At 46.3% G+C, this 20379-nt stretch overlaps 1 protein-coding gene across 5 annotated transcripts in view, besides 5 other annotated features; it reads right to left on the minus strand.

Annotated features, from left to right (window-relative positions):
• The window catches only part of LATS2 (large tumor suppressor kinase 2), an 88551-nt gene extending 73209 nt beyond the window's left edge, over positions 1–15342 (minus strand). For 2 of the 5 annotated variants that reach the window (XM_017020542.2, NM_014572.3), the window contains exon 1: positions 15102–15342. The gene's annotated coding sequence lies outside the window, so the exon portion shown is untranslated. Of the gene's footprint in view, positions 1–114; positions 1475–13885; positions 14162–15101 lie in introns of those variants that run through there. The other 3 variants (XM_047430266.1, XM_005266342.1, XM_047430267.1) reach the window with 3 other exon arrangements.
• Positions 4474–4973: an enhancer, noted in NCBI's record as "H3K4me1 hESC enhancer chr13:21624857-21625356 (GRCh37/hg19 assembly coordinates)". NCBI's record gives its function as "activates a minimal SCP1, AML or CMV promoter by ChIP-STARR-seq in primed H9 embryonic stem cells {active_cell/tissue: H9 hESC(primed)}" and the evidence as "EXISTENCE:reporter gene assay evidence [ECO:0000049][PMID:30033119]".
• Positions 6262–6763: an enhancer, noted in NCBI's record as "H3K4me1 hESC enhancer chr13:21626645-21627146 (GRCh37/hg19 assembly coordinates)". NCBI's record gives its function as "activates a minimal SCP1, AML or CMV promoter by ChIP-STARR-seq in primed H9 embryonic stem cells {active_cell/tissue: H9 hESC(primed)}" and the evidence as "EXISTENCE:reporter gene assay evidence [ECO:0000049][PMID:30033119]".
• Positions 13809–14701: an enhancer, noted in NCBI's record as "NANOG-H3K27ac-H3K4me1 hESC enhancer chr13:21634192-21635084 (GRCh37/hg19 assembly coordinates)". NCBI's record gives its function as "activates a minimal SCP1, AML or CMV promoter by ChIP-STARR-seq in naive H9 embryonic stem cells {active_cell/tissue: H9 hESC(naive)}" and the evidence as "EXISTENCE:reporter gene assay evidence [ECO:0000049][PMID:30033119]".
• Positions 14207–14616: a silencer, noted in NCBI's record as "silent region_5159". NCBI's record gives its function as "represses an Ori minimal core promoter by ATAC-STARR-seq in GM12878 lymphoblastoid cells {active_cell/tissue: GM12878}" and the evidence as "EXISTENCE:reporter gene assay evidence [ECO:0000049][PMID:35858748]".
• Positions 14757–15556: a silencer, noted in NCBI's record as "silent region_5160". NCBI's record gives its function as "represses an Ori minimal core promoter by ATAC-STARR-seq in GM12878 lymphoblastoid cells {active_cell/tissue: GM12878}" and the evidence as "EXISTENCE:reporter gene assay evidence [ECO:0000049][PMID:35858748]".

Genomic DNA, 20379 nt, shown 5'->3' on the forward strand with positions numbered 1-20379 from the left:
AAATGGGAGAGAAATGTTCATTTGTCATTTTCACGCAACGTTAATGCTACTTTTCAGAAATAAACAGTGATCGTGGAAATATACCGCTTGGAAAGAAAAGAAAGAACGCATCACCTCTCAGAAATGACAAAAATACTGTTCAACCATGGTTAGAGCACATGACATCTACGGCTGTCCCAAAATGCTTCCTGTAATACGTAATCTGCAATAAAGTAAATTGCTATAAATATTCAACTCAGGGCAAGAACAGTAGTATTAACAACTGACAGCTCATTTAAAATACTTCATTATAATAAAATTTTATTTTGAAACCCACAGCTTGAGGAGTATTTAAATTTTCTACATGGGATCTTGGATTTCTGGCTTGTTCCTAATAACCAATCCACTCCTTGTCCTTCATCCCCATGGCTTTACTAACCTCTCCCCCCTCACATGAGATGTGGTCCTTCCATATCTTTAGAAAACTTTCTGAACTTTTCCTTATAAAACCCTCCCAATTTTCCTAAAAGACACCACAAAGCCTGTCACATTAAAACTGTCCCATGTTGCAAATGTTTCAATTGCAGTTTCCACACACACATTATGAGACTTTGAAGGTAACTACTTCCTTTGTTTTTTACAAGGTGGCCACTTACCAGCATTTTGACCTAAATAGTAAAATTAAAATATCTTTCTTGTAGCAATTGATACTGACATGGAAGGGGACTGGTAACAGCATGTAGGCAACTTCTCAGAGTGCACCATGGCCACATGAACATCAAATGATCATGTGGGTAAGAGTTATTACTACAGAACTACAACTGCAGCATGGAAATGGCCTCGTTACATGGAACGCGATGTCACAAAGGCATTTTCCAATAGTAAATTCTACCTACCCCAGGCCTCGTTCACGGCCTACTCTGCTGTTCTTTGATTCAGAAAGGAAAATCCAGTCCAAGTCAACACCGCCCTCAGCAGCCAGCACAGGTCACTTGTCACAAGGCTGGGTGACCCTGGACCAGTCCCTTCGCCTCCCTCAGCCCCACTCCCTGCTATGTAATAGAGACGGATGCTTAGGACAGTGGTGAGCACCGGGTCAGATGACAAGGGTACCAGGCCCTGCAGTACTTGGAACACACAACATCCTCCCTATTCTTCACCCCGTGATGAATGTTTATATAACCAGCTGCTCTAACCCAGGGAAGGTGCCCGCTGGTGGGAAAGGCAGGGCCAGCACCCCACACCGTGCCAAAGCCCTTAGTGGCTGCCCCTTCCCTCACCCACTCCCCCTTACTCCACAGAACTCAATGAGCAGATTTCGAAGGATAATCATTTTGAGTTTTAATAAACGAAGAACAACTGATCCAAAAAGAGTACCCTCTAAACGGGGATGGGCAGAGGGATCTGGATGTTTAGCTTCCGTAAGGAACTTTATAACTGTAAACCGCGACCCTGCTTCACAGACTTTTTCAAGTGGATTAAAAAAAAAAAAAAGGATAGCTAATATTCACCCAGCCTTACTATGTGTCAGGTGCGGTTCAAAGAATTAATTTACATAGATCTATTGCACAACCATATGCAATAGCAAACACTAAGAGATGACATTTGAATTCCTAGTCCTTGCTTAGATGGGAAGGGGATTGTAAGCGTTTTAACTATCCCCTTTCTCAATGTAATTGTGAGAAGATTCCATTTAGAAGATAAGAGAGAGACTAAATAAATTTCTCAACATGAAATCCCTATTTTAATACACAATATAATATAGTAAAGTCACTGAAATGACTGTAAGACTGTGCAGACATTGAGCTATTAGATCCAGGGACAGCCCAGATCCCCTGGGGCCTGTACTGGCCACATATCAGAAGCCTAGAGCTCTGCTTAATTGGTGTAAAATGGGGCATATTGCAGCCACACTCATTTCAGTGACTTTGTGCTCTAAGCATCTGTTTTGAAATACCTAACTTTGTAAAACCGTAACTTCACATTCCGACAAAAACGGAGAGGTTCTCAAGGTGATGCCAAGCAGTATGGAGGATCCTAGAAGTGACTCGGTATGTCTGGGAAGAGGCAGTAGAGTTCTTTCTTTTCCTATAGGAATTCACACAAATCACTTTGTTTCCAATCTTAAGTTTTCTTCCCTTTCTTTGAAAACTAAAATAGAGAAAACACAGCCATACTATCTTCACAAGAACAATCAATGCAAGGGAGGGCCTGACAATACGCAGAGAGTTTCTTCATGCTCAAAATACATTCACTCGGCCATCTACTCATCTAGCCCATCCACCCTCTACCTACCATACAAACATTTATTAAATACCTACTCAAGGCTGGACGTGGTGGCTCACGTCTGTAATCCCAGCCACTTTGGGAGGTCAAGGCGGGCGGATCATCTGAGGTCAGGAGTTCGAGACCAGCCTGGCTAACATATAGTGAAACCCTGTCTCTACTAACTAAACATAAAAAATTAGCCAGGCATGGTGGCGGGTGCCTATAATCCCAGCTACTTGGGAGGCTGAGGCAGGAGAATCACTTGAACCAGGGAGGCGGGGGTTGCAGTGAGCCGAGATCGCACCATCGCACTCCAGCCTGGGCAACAAGAGCGAAACTCCGTCTCAAAAAATAAAAAATAAAAATAAAAATAAAAATAAAAAAAACCTACTGAATCTCAGGCACTGATAGGATAAATGAAAACAAAATCTTGGCTTCAGCAAGTTTACTGTCAAGTGAAAGCTGGGGTGAGGCAGGCAAATAAACAACTTCAAAAAAAGAGAGATGCCTGGAGAATAAAAAAGAAAGAGCTCTAGAAATAATTAGACCTGAGTGTCAGGAGGAATGGAATTCCAGCTAGAGGGAACAGCATATGCAAAGAAGCCTTTAGGCTCCACCCACCACATTCAGGTCTGTGCAATGCAGGCTCTTCCTGGAGACATAGGAGGTCAAAGGACTCGGGGGTAGTGGGGGTGTCTCGTGGGATGAAACCATGGAGGTATCCAGAGGCTCAATTCCCAGCCATGTTGAGTCTGGACTCAGTGCAGAGGATGGGCAGTCACTGCCTATGGTTCAGCTAAGGAGTGACACGGCCTGAGTGGAAGGTGGGCTTAGAAGGGACAAGTGCAACACTTCTGGGTGAGGAGCAGCAGCCCCGGGGAGCAAGGGGAAGGGGTTTCAGGTCTGGAATGAAAGGCACAGATGGGGGATGGTGGGGAGGGGTGCTGGCATCTGCATATGGGACATTTGCCCGGCCAGAGGCCTGCCTGCTCAGCCATGAAATGGAGCTACCAGGTGAGTGGATGGCTGAGGCCCTCCCGGCTCACTCACATTCCTTACAGGAGCAGCCACCTGTGATATGTCTCTTTTTACCAGCAGTGACATTAGCAGGGCACAGAAGGGGCAAGCTGCTTTTCACTCAGCTATGAAAGGACAAGAGCCACAAGAGACACTGCAGACTGAAGAAAAAGAACCATGAGAAAGTTCCATGTTAAAGCCAGGATGCAGGGATGTCCTCTCCCCCATCACATGAGCAGAGCAAAGGGAGTTGGGGGTGGCTGAAGGAGGTCCTGGTTGACTCTGAGGCTGGAAAGCTCTCTCTGGAATCTGCTCTAAAGAAGGGAAGCTGGCCGGGCACTGTGGCTCATGCCTATAATCCCAGCTCTTTCGGATGCCGAGGCAGGCAGATCACTTGAGGCCAGGAGTTTGAGACCAGCCTGGCCAACACAGTGAAACGCTGTCTCTACTAAAAATACAAAAATTAGCCAGGTGTGACAGCACACCCCTGTAGTCCAGCTACTCGGAAGGCTGAGGCAGGAGAATCCCTTGAATCCAGGAGGTGCAGTTTGCAGTGAGCTGAGATTGTGCCACTGCACTCCAGCCTAGGCGACAGAGGGAGACTCTGTCTCATAGACAGATAGATAGATAGATAGATAGATACATACATACATACATACATACATAGATGGAAAGCTGCTGAAAGCCAGGAGGAACAGTAAGGCTTTTGGGGGTGGAGGGGGTAGGGGCAATCCACTTATTTAACATATATTTTTTAAACTGCACAGATTGTAAGATTGACAAATGTTCACCAAGGAACACACTCTTGTAAATAGCATCCAAATCAAGAAGTGTATCATTATCACAACCCCAGAAGCCTCCAGGCCCCCACAGACCAAGGGGAACCACCTTCATGTCATCTAACACCAAGGATTAGTCTGACCAGTTTTTGAACTGTATATCCAAGGAATTATGCAATCTCTACTCTGTAGTTTAGCACATTTCTTTCAACACTATATTTGCAGATTCATACACGTAGTATATATATAGCAGAAGCCTGTCAGTTGTCATTGCTGCGTAATATCCCCTTGTATGAATACACCATAACTTATGCATCCATTCTACCTAATGGACGTTTAGGTTACTCCTGGTCTGGGCTATTACAAATGGCACCACTGCCATTCAGGTTGCCATGGCTCCAGGCCCAGAGCTGTGAGGAGCTGCAGCGTGGGTGCTCGGCTCAAGGCCTTGCTTACCATCGCCGTGCCAAATACGCTGAAGAGCGACTGGCAGAGCCCCTGGAGAGACTGTAAAAAGGCACCCCTTCCTCAAGAAGTTTTTTGTTTCTATATTATTGTACAGCACCAACAACTCTCCCTGGGGAGCTTTCTGGAGCCCTGTGGGCAAGAGGCCCTGGCCCACGCATAGACATGCCATGATACCACAGCCACGTGAGGGGGGGCAGGAAAAGGCTGAGTCAAATGGAAGGCGTGAACGGGACCTCTGAGGCATAGGAGAGAAAGAAATGGTCTTAGTGCAAGTCACAGAGAAGGGTGATCATGTCTGCCCTCTAGAAGATGTGTGACGCATACGCCGTGTCAGGGGAGGTGAGTCTCTACTGCCACCCAGGTCTTCTGTGAGTGGCTAAAAGTCTCCAAGCAGACTGCACATGCCCTCATATAAATGTGTATACATGTGATGTGAGACAAGCCCTCTTATATGTAGGGCCCTTGAGCAGTGCACAACCTGAACACCCACACAAGGTGACCCTGTTACTTGGTCCTGAGGATGCAGAAAGACTGATTTGCCTCTGACTTTAAGGAGCTCATAGCTCAAGATGGGAAGGCAGAGGAGAAAATCAATTATTTAAATACACTATAGGGTATGTGTCACAATGAAAGTTTGCCCAAAGAATTATGGGGATCTGAAATAGAGAGCAGTTACAGGATAGAGAAAAGTGGGTGCACTCAACAGCACTAAGAGGTAGAACCCATAGGAGTAAGTAATGTTCACTGGAAAGGACTGATATGAAAGATGAGCCCAAGTTTCTGGTTTGAAAAATGGGGCCAGTGGTGGTGCCATTCTCTGAGCCAGGAAACCTCACCTGTCTGGGCAATGCGGCCCACCAGGAGAGCAGTGTCAGTGGTGGAGGAGGAAGGCAGTGACCAAAGGTGAAAAAGCACAGGGCAGGCTGGGTCCAGTGGCTCACACATGTAATCCTGGCACTTTGGGAGGCCAAGGTGGGAGGACTGCTTGAGCCCAGGAGCTGGAGACCAACCTGGGCAACAGAGGCAGACGGCATTTCTAAAAGTAATTAAATAATTAACCAGGTGTGGAGGCACACCTATGGTCCCAGCTACTCCGGAGGCTGAGGTGGGAGAATCACTTAAACCCAGGAAGTAGAGGCTGCAGTGAGTCAAGGTCACACTACTGCACTCCAGCCTGGGAGTCAGAGCAAGACCCTGTTTAAAAAGCACAGGGAGGGGAAGCTCACTGAAAACTGGGTGTGCAGTGCTAAAGTGGCTGGAGGTGGGAGGCCTGGGTCCTTCCCCAGCTCTGGCACTGAGCGTGTGGTCTGAGCCTGTCACTTAACCTTGCTGAGTTTCAAGCTCCTGCACGGTACCAAGGGTCTAACACCCGCTACTGTCTACCTGACAGGCTTGCCTTGAGGATCACAGTGGTGCTGTGTGTGACAGCAGGCTCAATCTGTAATGCATGATATACTGATCAATTATCACCATTACTAATTAAAGATTTATAATAAGTTAGGCAAAAAAGGTTTAATGAGGCCAGGAGATAAGACCACGGAAAAATTACCAAACTGAACACAGAAACAGGTTGCTTGCTCCAAGTGACTCCTCTTTATTTTTTATTTATTTATTTGGGAGAGTCTCACTCTGTCACCTAGACTGGAGTGCAGTGGCTCAATCTCAGCTCACTGCAACCTCCACCTTGTAGATTCAAGTGATTCTCGTGCCTCAGCCACCCGAGTAACTGAGATTACAGGCGTGCACCACCACACTCGGTTAATTTTTGTATTTTTAGCAGAGATGGGGGTTTCACCCTGTTGCCTAGGCTGGTCTCGAACTCCTGATCTCAAGTGATCCACCTGCCTCAGCCTCCCAAAGAGCTGGGATAACAGGCGCGGGCTACCATGCCCAGCCGAGTGACTCCTCTTTAAATCAGTGTTTGAGAATGATGCTTAGAAAGTTAAAGTAGCTTTCTTTTAACTGTAAAGACAGAAAAACACAGAGAAGAAAAGCTTAAGTCTTTCCTCTCTGAAACGTGCCTGCAGCCAGGTGCCAGGTTGGTCAGTTCTGAGCAGCATCTGAGCCTCAAGATGCTGACTGCGGCTCAAACAGCAGGTCTGGGTTGACTCTGTGATCCTGTGTATGTCAAAGGCACCGATGCTTCCTGTCCTCCCCAACCTGCAAAACCTTTCTCTCAGCTAGAAAAACCGAACGCTGGGCCGGGCACGGTGGCTCACGCCTGTAATCCCAGCACTTTGGGAGGCTGAGGCAGGCAGATCACGAGGTCAGGAGATCGAGACCATCCTGGCCAACACGGTGAAACCCTGTGTCCACCAAATATACAAAAATTAGCTGGGTGTGGTGGCACGCACCTATAGTCCCAGCTACTAGGGAGGCTGAGGCAGGAGAATCGCTTGAACCCGGGAGGCGGAGGATGCAGTGAGCCGAGAACATGCCACTGCACTCCAGCTTGGCAACAGAGTGAGACTCTGTCTCAAAAAAAAAAAAAAAAAAAAAAAGCCCAACTCAACCCCACCTGCCTGGCTCACTCCTACTCCTAAAACCTCAGCCCAGAACCCCTCCCACAGAAGGACCTTCCTGACCTCCCCAATCTAAGGGACCATACATGTTCACTCCCAGCCCTTCCCACAGCACCACCACTGGCTGGTGTGCTTCCTCTTGAAGAATCTGATAGCACCACGAGGGCAGGAGCATCCTGTTTGGTTTACCCCCATCTACTCCCAGGCATGTGCACACAGGCCCACGCAACATCTGTTGAAAGACACAGGTAGTCACTCAGCACCGAATCTGCGTCCTCAGTTCCACACTGAGGACAAAGCCTGCCAGTGCCACCCCAAAGGTCTAAGGTGATAAAGGAGAACGAAGCCTCAGTCAACAGCAGCACCTTCTCTGAAGTTTAACATGCAGGTCTAAATGAAACGGGCCCAAGGGAGGTTCACACAGAACAAAAGTCGCAGAACTATGGCATATTATTCAGCTATAAAAAGGAAGGAAATCCTGTCATATGCAACAATAAAGATGTACCTCAAGAACATTATGCTAAGTGAAATAAGCCAAACACAAAAAGGAAATATTGTATGATTCCAGTTATGTGAGTTACCTCCAGCAGGCAAATTCATAGAGACAGAAAGAAGAGAGATTACCAGAAGAAAGGGGAACAGGGAATTTTTACTTAAGGGGTACAGTTTTTGTTTGGGATGATGAAAAAGTCTTATGTATAGACAGTGGTGATGTTTGCAGTAATGGTGCATTTAATGCCACTTAACTGAACTGTATACTTAAGAATGGTTAAAAGGATAAATATGTATATTTTTCCTCAATTTTTAAAAATGGGGAAAAAAGTCTCCTAACTACTCCTATTTAGCAAACTCGTGTTTGAACAATGGCTCCCTTTTTAAACATAGCTACACGGCTGGGTGCAGTGGCTCATGCCTGTAATCCTAGCACTTTGGGAGCTGGAGGCAGGAAGGCAGGAAGATCACTTGAGGTCAGGAGTTCAAGACCAGCCTGGCCAACATGGCAAAACCCTGTCTCTACTAAAAATGCAAAAATTAGCTGGAAATCGCTTGAACCTGGGAGGCGGGGGCTGCTGTGAGCCGAGGTCATTCCACTGCACTCCAGCCTAGGCAACAGAGCAAGTCTCCACCTCAAAAAGAAAAAAAATTTAAATAAATAAATAAACATAGCTACACAATGAGAAGACTGGACCTAGGGACTGGGTAGGATATAGCAGGGCAAAGTCTCCACGTGAAGTCCAAACCCTAGGGCAGCTGCACCTCCCCACCCCACTGGCCCTCCACCACACGGACACTGACTCACAGCAGAGCCACGCTCCTAGAGACACTTGGGGTGTTAAGCATCTGTGGGTGCCACAAACATTCAAATAGTAAAATCAACCAGGGCAGTCGAGACTGGACATTTCTATGTCGATGTCTGTTTATACCTGAGCAAAGAAATACTAAGTGGCCGTGTCCCTAGCCAGATCAGGAGTCCTGGTTTTTCTTTCTTTTTCCATTCCCCCCTCAACATTTGCTTATGAAAAATGTCAAACATACAAAAAGGTTGAGAGGATTATTCAGTGACATCCCTAAACCTACCACCTGGTTTTGTTTGGTACGGAGGGAGGGGGAGGACCCCACAAGCTGTTCTGATTTTTTCTCCATCTCCCACCATAGTGAGGCACTAGTCTAGGGATACCACAAGGGCTGTCCCTGTCTTAAGTGAATATGAAAAAATAGTACCTACGGATAAACTGTGTTCTTGCCTGAGTACTTTAGAAAGGATGAAACGTTCCTTCAGTTTCATAGAGAATGAAAGCATTTTTTCAGCTTCAGACAGTGTATTTTAAGCTTTAGTTTGAAGACAGTTGATTTCATGGCCAAATTATGAACTTTTGAAAGAATTTTCATGAGAATACTCATCAGTCAAGACTGCAGCTGGAAATGAACAACTCTGACATATTACTATACCATTTTAATGAGACTTCACATACGGGAAATTTTTCTTTCATCAAGAGTTTTATAAATATGACCCTCATGGATGTGGACTTTAAAAAAAATGGGGATATCAAGCAAAGTAAATCTAACTTTGGAAATTTCTTTGGCATCACCAATTGATTCACACACATTTTAAGTAACAAACTACAAACACTGGAATTTTAAAACCATAACAACTCACAAAACAAAAACACCTCATTCTCTAAATCCAGAGCTGAGACAACTACTAAATCCCATGCTTAATATAGGTGGCCTGTGTAAACAATGTGAGAGCAAAATTTTAAGCATGCCTTTAATTTGGTCCTACCAAACCCAATTCCAACCCTCAATCCAATCCTGGAAAATGCTATCAGATGTTCAAGAATTTTTATTCTAATTTATCCTAGTGCTTCACAAACCCACACTGGCTGCCAAACACACATCAAGCACCAACCAAGGAACCAACCAAACCAATGTCTCATGGGACCTGCGCTAATGACACATGTTGGCATTTTCTGAAGCAGGATTTCTTGAACCTAAAATTCCAGCTATTATTTAAATCATATCCCTACTATAATTAACTAGCAAAGCTGAAACTAAATCAGGCAGACGGGCCAGGCCTCCAGCCAGATGCTAAATGTCAGAATCATAAACCACTATGTGGATGTACCACACCAGCACTGTCAAGCCAGGAAGCCACAGGCCAAGGGCTACCTCTCATAATGAGGGTCTTTGAGGAAGGCAGTGATTGCATTCCTCTGGGGATCCAGGAAAACACACTTTAGAAGAATTCCCACTCTCCAATAGCAGCATCATCACAAGGCCTCAGAGAATTTGGCATTGCCATATGTGTACTGAGCATTGTGCTGGACACTATAAGGTCTCACCTAGGTAGAATTGGGTCTTTTTTTTTGGTGGGGGGGGCAGGGTCTCACTCTGGTTGCCCAGGCTGGAGTGCAGTGGCAAGATCTGAGGGGGAGTTTCGCCATGAGATGGGGTTTCGCCATGTCACCCAAGCTCGTCTCGAATTCCTGGACTCAAGTGATCCCCCCGCCTCGGCCTCCCAAAGTGCTGGAATTACGGGCATGAGCCACCATGCCCAGCCAGAGTATCACTTCTACATAAGCTTACAGTCTCGGGGAAAAAGACACCATCACATTCTCTATTAGACAGCTTTGTACATTATATTTTTATGATATACATTATGCAAATATAAATGGCATAAAAAAATTGAGCTACAGAAGTCTGTACTCAAGATATCACAACAGAGTGACCAAGTTGCAGATACATTATTAGTTCTTTGCAGCTTTCCTAATAGCAAGCGACCCAACAGGATGGGCCATCTTATATTCAATTTCATAGCCCAGCAGGGGTTCTCAATCGTTAAGAAAGCCTTGCCTCCTCTGCACCCCTCCAAGTTTTGGATACGCTCCAGCTAGGGAGTTAGAACACCCCTCCCATTTGAGAATCACTGCTATGGACTGAAGTAATAAATACTGTGACTGTCCAAAGAATCCCTGCCTACTTCCATGGAGGAGCACAATTCTTCAGGAAGGTGTTGAGATTATTTGGAGAAGGTATCTTAGAGAAAGGGATGTTTCACCAAAATTAGAAAGACTGGAAGGGCTATGATTTGATGGAGGAAGTGTGAAGCTATTCTTGGAGCCTGGAACTTCCAATGAAAAGGCTCAAACGTGGGAGAGAAAGATGAACAAAACAGCCAAAAAATGTTGGGGAGGGTGCAGGTGTCGTCCGGGTACATTTAATGAGAAAAATGAGTGAGACTCCCGAGTAAGAATGGAGTTAACTAGTAATGAACCATGTTGGCCCTTAGCATTCCTGCTCAAGATAACTGCCTAGAGGCAGGGAGGCTCACTATTCCAAACAGAGGCCCACTCCTTTCAAAATCCAGCTTACATTCTTAAGATCCTTACCATCCTAACTGATCAAGGGTCTATAGGATCTAAACTACACTACAAGATTCTAACAATCAGTGTTAACAAGAAATACAAACCATGGCTACAAAATATGGGATTTTTTCATTTTTCTCCCAGAAAAATTCCCATGTATGTCAAATATTGTCACACAAACAAAAAGTATTTGTGAATTAACTTAAAACACTTGTCACAATTAACTTGACATGATCTAGATGATAACCAACAAAGTCTTCCCAGGGTGAACGGCAAACATTAAACAATGCCAAATTTCCATTCTAATTTTAACATCATAACCAATGTCTTTATTTCCAATATTACCTTGCTGTTTTCATACTTTCAAAATAAAACTAATAATCACGTAACAGGCCGGGCGCGGTGGCTCATGCCTGTAGGCGGGTGGATCACGAGGTCAGGAGATCGAGACCATCCTGGCTACTACGGTGAAACCCCGTCTCTACTAAAAGTAAAAAAAAAAAAAAATTAGCTGGGCATGGTGGCGGGCGCCTGTAGTCCCAGCTACTCAGGAGGCTGAGGCAGGAGAATGGTGTGAACCCAGGAGGAGGAGCTTGCAGTGAGCCAAGATTGTGCCACTGCACTCCAGCCTGGGTGACAGAGCGAGACTCCATCTCAAAAATAAAAAAAAAATGAAAAATAAAAATCACGTAACATTATGTAACATTAGCCTTAAAATACTGAGAGAACAGCTAACAGTGAAATGAACATCCCAAGCAGGGCTGCCCTCACACTGGGGCCATCACAGGGCACTCTATGTAATAAAGCCCATTACAGAGAGCAGCAGTGACCTAGCATACAATGGGAACGATGCCCCTGGACTTGTGTAATTTGAAGGCCGATTCCTTCTAGAGGAATTACTAAGCAATAGACTTTTTAAAAGGAAGAAGATTCAGAGAATGTTTAGAGCTAGAAGTCAGTCACTTCAATCAAGCCTTACCCTTCTTTCTGATCATCAGAATATTTCGGTACTTTTTAGAACAGATTTAGTCAAGACAGAGTCAATGCATTTGAATTTACCTTCTGTATTTCTTCACACCAACTGTTTTTAAAAAGTCAGTAAGAAATACTGTTCAGAAGTTTCACAAGATTTTAACTACAAAATAAAATACAAAAGCAGCTTTTCGAAAATGGTGTTGGTATGGTTTTTCCAATACAAAAAAGAACACCTCTCCCCTAACCCCAGCTTCCCGAAATCCTTCCTCTGTTTATGGTCAATTTATCAGCTTCAATCCCCACCCTACCCCACCCCTTGGTGGAGTTTAGGAGCCCAAGGCTGGCTATTTACAACATAGCATTTAAAATAACAAGGAATCTTATTGTAAAATCATTCCCCTCCCACCAAAAGAAAGCCCCTCCCACCAACCCTGTGATTTGCTAAGGAACATGTACAGCTCCAATTTACACTTAAACTATTTCAAACTCGATGGAGAAGCCAGAAGAATCCCTTCCAGTTCTATAATTCAATGATTCTAGTAATTCACCTTGGTAATTTTGCAAGACAGGCTAGCCTCTGCTCAGATACCTTAAACTGCCTGAGATTTGGAAAGTTATTAAATGTTCACCAACTTATATTCAAAGGAATGCTGGTATATTCATTACACTATTATTATATTCAGTGCCTTCTATACCTGCATGAGACAAAATTTTGTGAGACACTGACTTGTTAATTACAGTTAAATAGACGTCATAAACAGTTTATACGTTCTCATTTTGGAATATTTTTTCTGTTACTACCTTATTACAACGGTTGTTACAGAAAAAAAAAAAACATACAAAGCAGCTTACCAAAAATATACAACAAGATTTAGCACAAATTTCCTAATAATCAGCCATGAGTTACTTTTTCCATGATTAAGGGAAGGCCCCTCATCTTCTAAGTTAAAATTTTAAGCAAAACACTTGTGCAAGATCACACACATTTTTGTGATTTCCCATTCAAATTTCAGTATATTTGTTTCTTATTAAAATACGGGCAAACTTTCCTTTAAAAATGTACGTATTTGTTGAATACTTTGTGAAAAGAGCTGTTCAGCTATTAATTTGAATTTTTTACCGGCCAAATGTATACTCTATGGCTTAGTAGTTAAGGTGAAATAATTTTTTTAATGCTATTACATTAAAAACACTCTTGGCTGGGTGCGGTGGCTTACGCCTGTAATCCCAGCAGTTTGGGAGGCTGAGGCGGGCGGATCACAAGGTCAGGAGATTGAGACCATCCTGGCTAATACAGCGAAACCCCGTCTCTACTAAAAATACAAAAAATTAGCCGGGCGTGGTGGCACACGCCTGTAATTCCAGCTACTCGGGAGACTGAGGTAGGAGATCGCTTGAACCCAGGAGGCGAGGTTGCAGTGAGCCGAGATCGCGCCACTGCACTCCAGCCTGGGCGACAGAGCAAGACAACGTCTCAAAAAACAACAACAACAACAACAAAAAACACTCATATCCATCCTAGAGAAGCGTGAAAATGTAAAAGTTCTTGTTCAAAATTCTTGTCAGGTGGGGCGCGGTGGCTCACGCCTGTAATCCCAGCACTCTGGGAGACGGAGGCAGGTGGATCACCTGAGGTCAGGAGTTCGAGAGCCAGCCTGGCCAACACGGCGAAACCCGTCTCTACTAAAAAATACAAAATTAGCTGGGCTGGTGGCGCGGGCCTGTAATCCCAGCTACGTGGGAGGCTAAGGCAGGAGAATCGCTCGAACCTGGGAGACGGAGGTTGCAGTGAGCCGAGATCGCGCCACTCCCCTCCAGCCTGGGAGACAGAGCGAGATCTTGTCTTAAAATAACAACATTTTTGTCAAAAAAATCTGCAAGTTAAGTTCTTTCATGGTGATCCTCGCAAAATAGCATTTCTCATCCAAAGGCCTCAGAACAGCCGCCAGCCGCCGAGCTAACTCGGGACCCTGTTACCGGCTGCTTGGCGCCCTGGTCGGGTGGGTTTTACCTTCTTCAGGGTCCATTCCTCGCCTCGCCCCCCGTTCCCAACCCTCGGGACACTGGAGACTTGCATTTCACAAACGGGTTTGCTCCAGGCCGCACTCCATCCCCGAGGGAAAGCTCCCCAGAAGTTCTGGAGTTGGGCTGAAGGATGTGATGGCAAGATGTGAATGATGTCAGAATCCCCATCTCCAGAGTCCGGCTGGGGAGCTAAGCGCAGGTGAGCTTACATCAGAAGAGAAAGCCAAACCCCCCACACGTCGCTAAACTAGGGCACGGGAATGGCGTGTTATGCAACGGCCGCCGTTCGCGTGGCCACGAAAGCGCTCCTGCGCCTCGGGCCGCGTCCCGCCAAGACCGTGAGCAAACTCGCAGAGTTGGCGCGGCAGCCGGCCGGGAGACGCCGAGCAGGGCCTGGCCGCCCGCAGCCCGGGAGGAACGGCGCCCCCAGGGTCCGGTGGCCTCTGAGGGGCTGACTGGCCCGTGAGCCGGCGGCGCGGCCGCGGGGAACGGGGTGGGAACCGCGCGGCAGTGGGTGAGGCGGCGCAGCCACCGGGGGCTGAGGGGCGGCGCGGCCTCGACTGCGGCACCGCCGTGGGTCCGTCGGCTCGCGGGACGACGGGGCGGCCGGCGGGGGCCAACAGGGCGGGCTCTGAAGGACTGATTGGCCCGTGGGACGATGGCGCGGCCGGGAGGATGGCCCCGGATCCGTGGGACCGCTGCGCCGCCGGACCGGGGGTCCCGAGGCTGTCAGGGGCGCCCGGCCGGGCGTCTAGTGAAAAGCCGATCCCCCGGAGACAGCGGAAGCAGAGGCGCGCCCGGCGCTACGGCCTTTCGGGTCTAGGACACCGCCCCCGGCCCGCGCCGCCCCTGCCCCGCCGGGATCCCGGCCGCCCCGGTCGCCGCACAACAAAGCGGCGCAGCCCCGCTGCCCCCGCCCGACGCCGGCCTCCAACTTCCCCGGCTCCTCTGGAACCGGCTCCGCGGGCTCCGTACGGCCTGGACTACGAGCCGCCGGGCGGGGGCGGCTCCGGGCGGGCGCGGACCGTGGGGGCAGGGCGCAGGGCTCCGTCCGGACAAACTTCCTCGGCCGCCCCGCCGGGCGCCCTTCCCGGAGCCTCGGCACCACAGTAGGTGCGCGGAGCCGCAGGGCTCGACCGCTTCGCGGAAACTCTCGCCACCCTCCGAGCTGCCGCCCCGACCCCAGCTCCCAGCCCCCTCACCTCCAGGGGCGCGGTCTACACCCTCGGGGGCGTCCTGGCCGGCGGCTCCCGGGCCTCTCGCGCCGGGAGACCGGGCACTGGTGGCTGGAGCTGCTGCTGGCCCCGCAGGGACGGGGGAGCCCCGGGCGGCGGCGGTGGCGTGGACGGCGACTGCTCCATCTTCCCGGGGCGCTCACGCCGCGGTTCCAAAGCGCAGACCCAAGTGGGACATTCGCTACATTGTTGGCATTCCACGGGCGTCACGTGACCCCGCCTCCCGCGTCACTCTCGGCCGCATACCAGTCCGGGCGGGGCGCCTGCGGCCCCTGCTCCTCCGCGGCCGCTCCGCCCAGCCCCGCCCGGCCGTGCTTCCTGCCTCCGGCCTCGACCGCCACCTGCCCACGGCCTCCCTGCTGGCCTGCGGTAGCTCGCCAGGGCCTCTCGGACCTATTTGACTGGCTGCTATCTGCCCCCAAACTTGAGTATTTGCCCTCTCGACTGCATTTGTATTAAAAGTTGGTAACTGTCGTTAAAGCCACTATTCTTAAGTATCTCATACCAGTCTTGGTGAAAGAAAAAAAAAAGTTAGCAGGCCTGAAGGAGCCACCAAGTTACCAACTAGTGGCTGGACACTAAAAATAGGGGCAGAAAAGGACAGACGGCTATTGGGACAGTGGAATCAAACAATTAAGAAGGACGTTTGCCAGAAGCGGTGGCTCACGCCTGTAATCCCAGCACTTTGAGAGGTCTAGGCGGGTGGATCACCTGAGGTCGGGAGTTCGAGACCAGCCTGACCAACTTGGAGAAACCCCCGTCTCTATTAAAAATACAAAATTAGCCAGGCGTGGTGGCTCATGCCTGTAATCCCAGCTCTTCGGGAGGCTGAGGCAAGAGAATCACTGGAACCCGGGAGGCGGAGGTTGCGGTGACCTGAGATCGCATCATTGCACTCCAGCCTAGGCAAGAAGAGCAAAACTCCGTCTCAAAAAAAAAAAAAAAAGAACGTCTGATGCACACCCAAATTTAACCTGATTTAATTTAATCAACCTCCCCTCCCCATGTATATTTTCTTTCTGAGAAGTATTTTATGGTGTAGGGAATAGTATAGTACCGTATATACCAGCAAGTGAGGTCGTGGGTTTTGAACAGCTTCACTATCCATTTGAGGACTGTGGATCTGGTACAGGGACAGAAGCAGGGATGGTGCAAAGATTCACAGTAGAAATAATAGACTGGAAGCCAAATCCTCAGTCTACTTCTGGCTCTCCTAACATCATACTTCCTACCACCTATATCTGTGGCAAGTGATGCTGAGGGTCAATATAGTGTTTAAAGTCAACTCGATTTCCTCTTTAATTGACAAACTCTTGTGAAATTTTTAAATTTTACTCTCATGGGAAACAGTAGTAAAGGTCATTATCTGTGCACTATTTTGACAGTCTCACCCAGCCTTCAGTCCCTGGTTCATCCTCCTCCCCTCCCTCTCTTTCAATCTCTTAAGGCCTCAGCTCTTCCAGGGAATCTTCTCAGATCTCTGTTTTCTCTCTTCTTTGGGCTCTGATAATCAAACCGTAATCCCTTCCTGCCAGCAGAAGTGTGCAAAAAAAAAAAAAAGAAACCATCATCGTGCAGCTTAGAATTCAATTTAATTTTTCGATAGTATCCTGTATGCTACCCAGATATCTTGCACAGTACTGGGAGCAAAATAAGTCTCCAGCCAATATTCTGCAATTGAGCCCTACTGGCATTACCTATGTACTTTTCCACATTTTTTCCTTTTTTTCTTAGAGACAGAGTCTCACTCCATTGCCCACGCTGGAGTGCAGTGGCACAATCATAACTTACTGCAGCCCACATCAGCCTTGAACTCCTGAGCTCAAGCCATCCTCCTGCCTCAGCCTCTAGGGTAGCTGGGAACACAGGCGCACACCACCATGCTTGGCCTTCTTTTCACTCTTAAGCTGACTATACTTTCTCCACCCCAACCCCAAGCCACATGGCTGCTAATCTTTTTTTGTTGTGTGTTTAAAGATCCTGCTCCTGCTCTGCCTTCAAAGATGTAAAAATAATTTTTAAAACACTTGTGGAATGAAAAATATTATAAAATAGATTTAATGGACCTTAAAATTTGTGCATAAAATACCTAATAAAAATGTTGCAGTTACAATGATCATTTCAGCATTGTTTGCAGTAGTGAAAAATTGAGAAAAACCCCAAATGTCCAGTCAAGGGGTAGGAAAATGAAAGGTAGATATCCAAATGATGGAATATACACAGTAGCTAAGTTAATGAACTAGCTCTGTAGTTGTAAAGGATAAATGATGGTAGAAAGAATTCAAAAGCACTGTGGAGTGAAAAAAAGCAAGTTGCAGAACTATATATATACACTGTGATACCATATTTATAAATAATCAAAATCCCACAGAACCTAAAATGATCACATACTTTATATAAGTATAGACATAGAATGCAATATCACACACACCAAATTCATGACAGCTGTTGTTTATATTAGAGGGAAGGAGGGAAATTGAGCAGAGAAAAAAAATGAAGACTTCAACTTTACAATGCTTTCTTTTATTTAAAAAACGGAAATAAAACTCAAAATCTTAAAAGTTGTTGGTTCTGGGAGGTTGGGTTCAATAATGTGTGCTATACTATTCTTTGTGCCTTTTTTAAAAAACATTAAAAATTTTAAATTTTATATATATATATGAATACAGACAAATTGGAAACAAGTTTCCAAGATAGGGGCTTGGTTGGGAAAGCTGACACGCTCACATGGAAGAATGTTGTGATTAACGATTTGTGTTTATTAACATGCAGTCATTCATTCCTTCTCATTTTTGTTTGTTGTTGTATGTTTGGGTTTTTGTTTTGTTTTCTGTTTTGTTATCGGTACCTGCTATGAACCATGTGCTAAAATTAAAAAACCCATGTTTGGGTTTTTGTTTTGTTTTGTTTCTGTTTTGTTTTGTTATTGGTACCTGCTATGAGCCATGTGCTAAAATAAATCATACTTGGGATAACATGGTAAGCAAAACCATAAGATTTATCCCCTGATGGGGTTTATAGTGTGGTAGAGGTAGAGGTGTTCAAGAAAAACACATGCTGGGCATGGTGGCTCATGCCTGTAATCCCAGCACTTTGGGAAGCTGAGATGGGTGGATCACTTGAGGCCAGGAGTTCGAGACCAGCCTAGCCAACAGAGTAAGATCCCATCTCTACTAAAAACAAAAAAAAGAAAGGAAAAACAGCAACAATATAAGTTTATTTTATATGTATATACAATAAACTATGTACACATGTATATTTTTTAAACTATTTTTAAAGCCCAGAAAATTACACAGCCAAATGTTAAAAGTGGTAGTCTCTGGATGTAGTGTAGTGATTCTGAATGGTTTTGTCTTATACTTCCTGATACTTCTATAGTAGGATAGTTAACATAATTTTTTTTCTTTTTTTCTTTTTCTTTTTTTTTTTTTGAGATGGAGTCTTGCTCTGTCGCCCAGGCTGGAATGCAATGGTGAGATATCAGCTCACTGCAACCTTGCAACCTCCATCTCCCGGGTTCAAGCAATTCTCCTGCCTCATCCTCTGGAGTAGCTGAGATTATAGGCATGCTCCACCATGCACGGCTAATTTTTGTATTTTTAGTAGAGATGGGGTTTCACCATGTTGGCCAGGCTGGTCTCGAAATCCTGACCTCAGGTGATCTGCCTGCCTTGGCCTCCCAAAGTGCTGGGATTACAGGCTTCAGCCACCATGCCTGGTCCAGAAAATGTTTTAAAGTTAATCAGTTAAATAAGCACATCTACATAATGTATCTAGCTGAGAAGAGGAGAAAAAGAGACAACACAAGACCAGCTGAGCATAGAGCGGACAGTAGTAACAAAATTGGAGTGTATAAATTAACTGACATAGTATATACATATGTGTATGTGTGTGTCCTTATTCTATACCAAGTATTGCTCTAAATTTGTATATTATATCATTTAATTCTCAAAACGACCATGTTATTCAACCCATTTTATAAAAAAGGATCCTGAAATGCAGACGGCTCAAGTAACTTGTCCAAGATCAAAGAGCAGAGATTCAGACCTTCATAGATCTAACTCCAGAGATTGGAAACACTGAATTATAATGCCCTCTCTAGATAATCTCAAGAAGTCATGAGGCTGGGCATGGTGGCTCACGCCTGTAATCCCAGCACTTTGGGAAGCTGAGGCTGGTGGATCATGAGGTCAGGAGTTCGGGACTAGCCTGGCCAAAATGGTGAAACCCTGTCTCTACTAAAAATACAAAAATTAGCTGGGCGTGGTGGCAGGCACCTGTAATCCCAGCTACTCGGGAGGCTGAGGTAGGAGAATTGCTTGAACCCAGAAGGTGGAGGTTGCAGTGAGTGGAGACCAAGCCACTGCACTCTAGCCTGGACAACAGAGCAAGACTTCATCTCAAAAAAAAAGTAAAAAAAAAGGCACATGATTACAACATACTCATAAGTAAGGAAACTGAAAACAAATTACTCCCTTATACTTCCTCTGAAAGGGGAATGGACTTTGTGGAGTGAGGAAGAGGGGAACTCAGAGACTTGTGTCTCCAGCCTCAACCAAAGCAGAGAACGATTCCAGGCCTAGCAGACACAGAGAATCCACTTGCTTGTGAGGCCTCTGCAGTTGTGAAGCCAGGATAGTGTAGGGGTTCTCTCCCTAAGGCTCCTATAGAATATCAACTATGGCTGGGTACGGTGGCTCACACCTGTAATCCCAGCACTTTGGGAGGCCGAGGCGGGCGGATCCCTTGAAGCCAGGAGTTCTAGACCAGCCTGGCCAACGTAGCGGAACCCTTTCTCTACTAAAAATACAAAAATTAACCAGGCATGGGGGTACATGCCTGTAATCCCAGCTACTCAGGAGACTGAGGCACGAGAATCGCTTGAGCCCAGGAAGTGGAGGTTGCAGTGAGCCGAAATGGCGCCACTGCACTCCAGCCTGGGCGACAGAGCCAGACTCTATCTCAAAATAAAATAAAATAAAATCTGCCTAACTACAGAAGAATGTTCTCTATGGGCAGTAGCATAAAAATAGAATAGGATCAGATCATGCAAGACCCAGACAACCGAGAAGAAAACGGAACATCGACTTGTTTCATTTGTTTTAGAGTCGTTTTATATCCATATACAGTAGTTTATGTCCTTAACTAAATTATGCATTCCTTAAGAACAGAGAAGATATTCTCCCCCAAAAACCATATGTAAAGAACATTTTAATGGTAAAATTCAAGGCCAGGTGTGGTGGTT

The sequence above is a fragment of the Homo sapiens genome, chromosome 13 (genome assembly GCF_000001405.40).
Source record: "Homo sapiens chromosome 13, GRCh38.p14 Primary Assembly".
Taxonomy (NCBI): domain Eukaryota; kingdom Metazoa; phylum Chordata; class Mammalia; order Primates; family Hominidae; genus Homo; species Homo sapiens.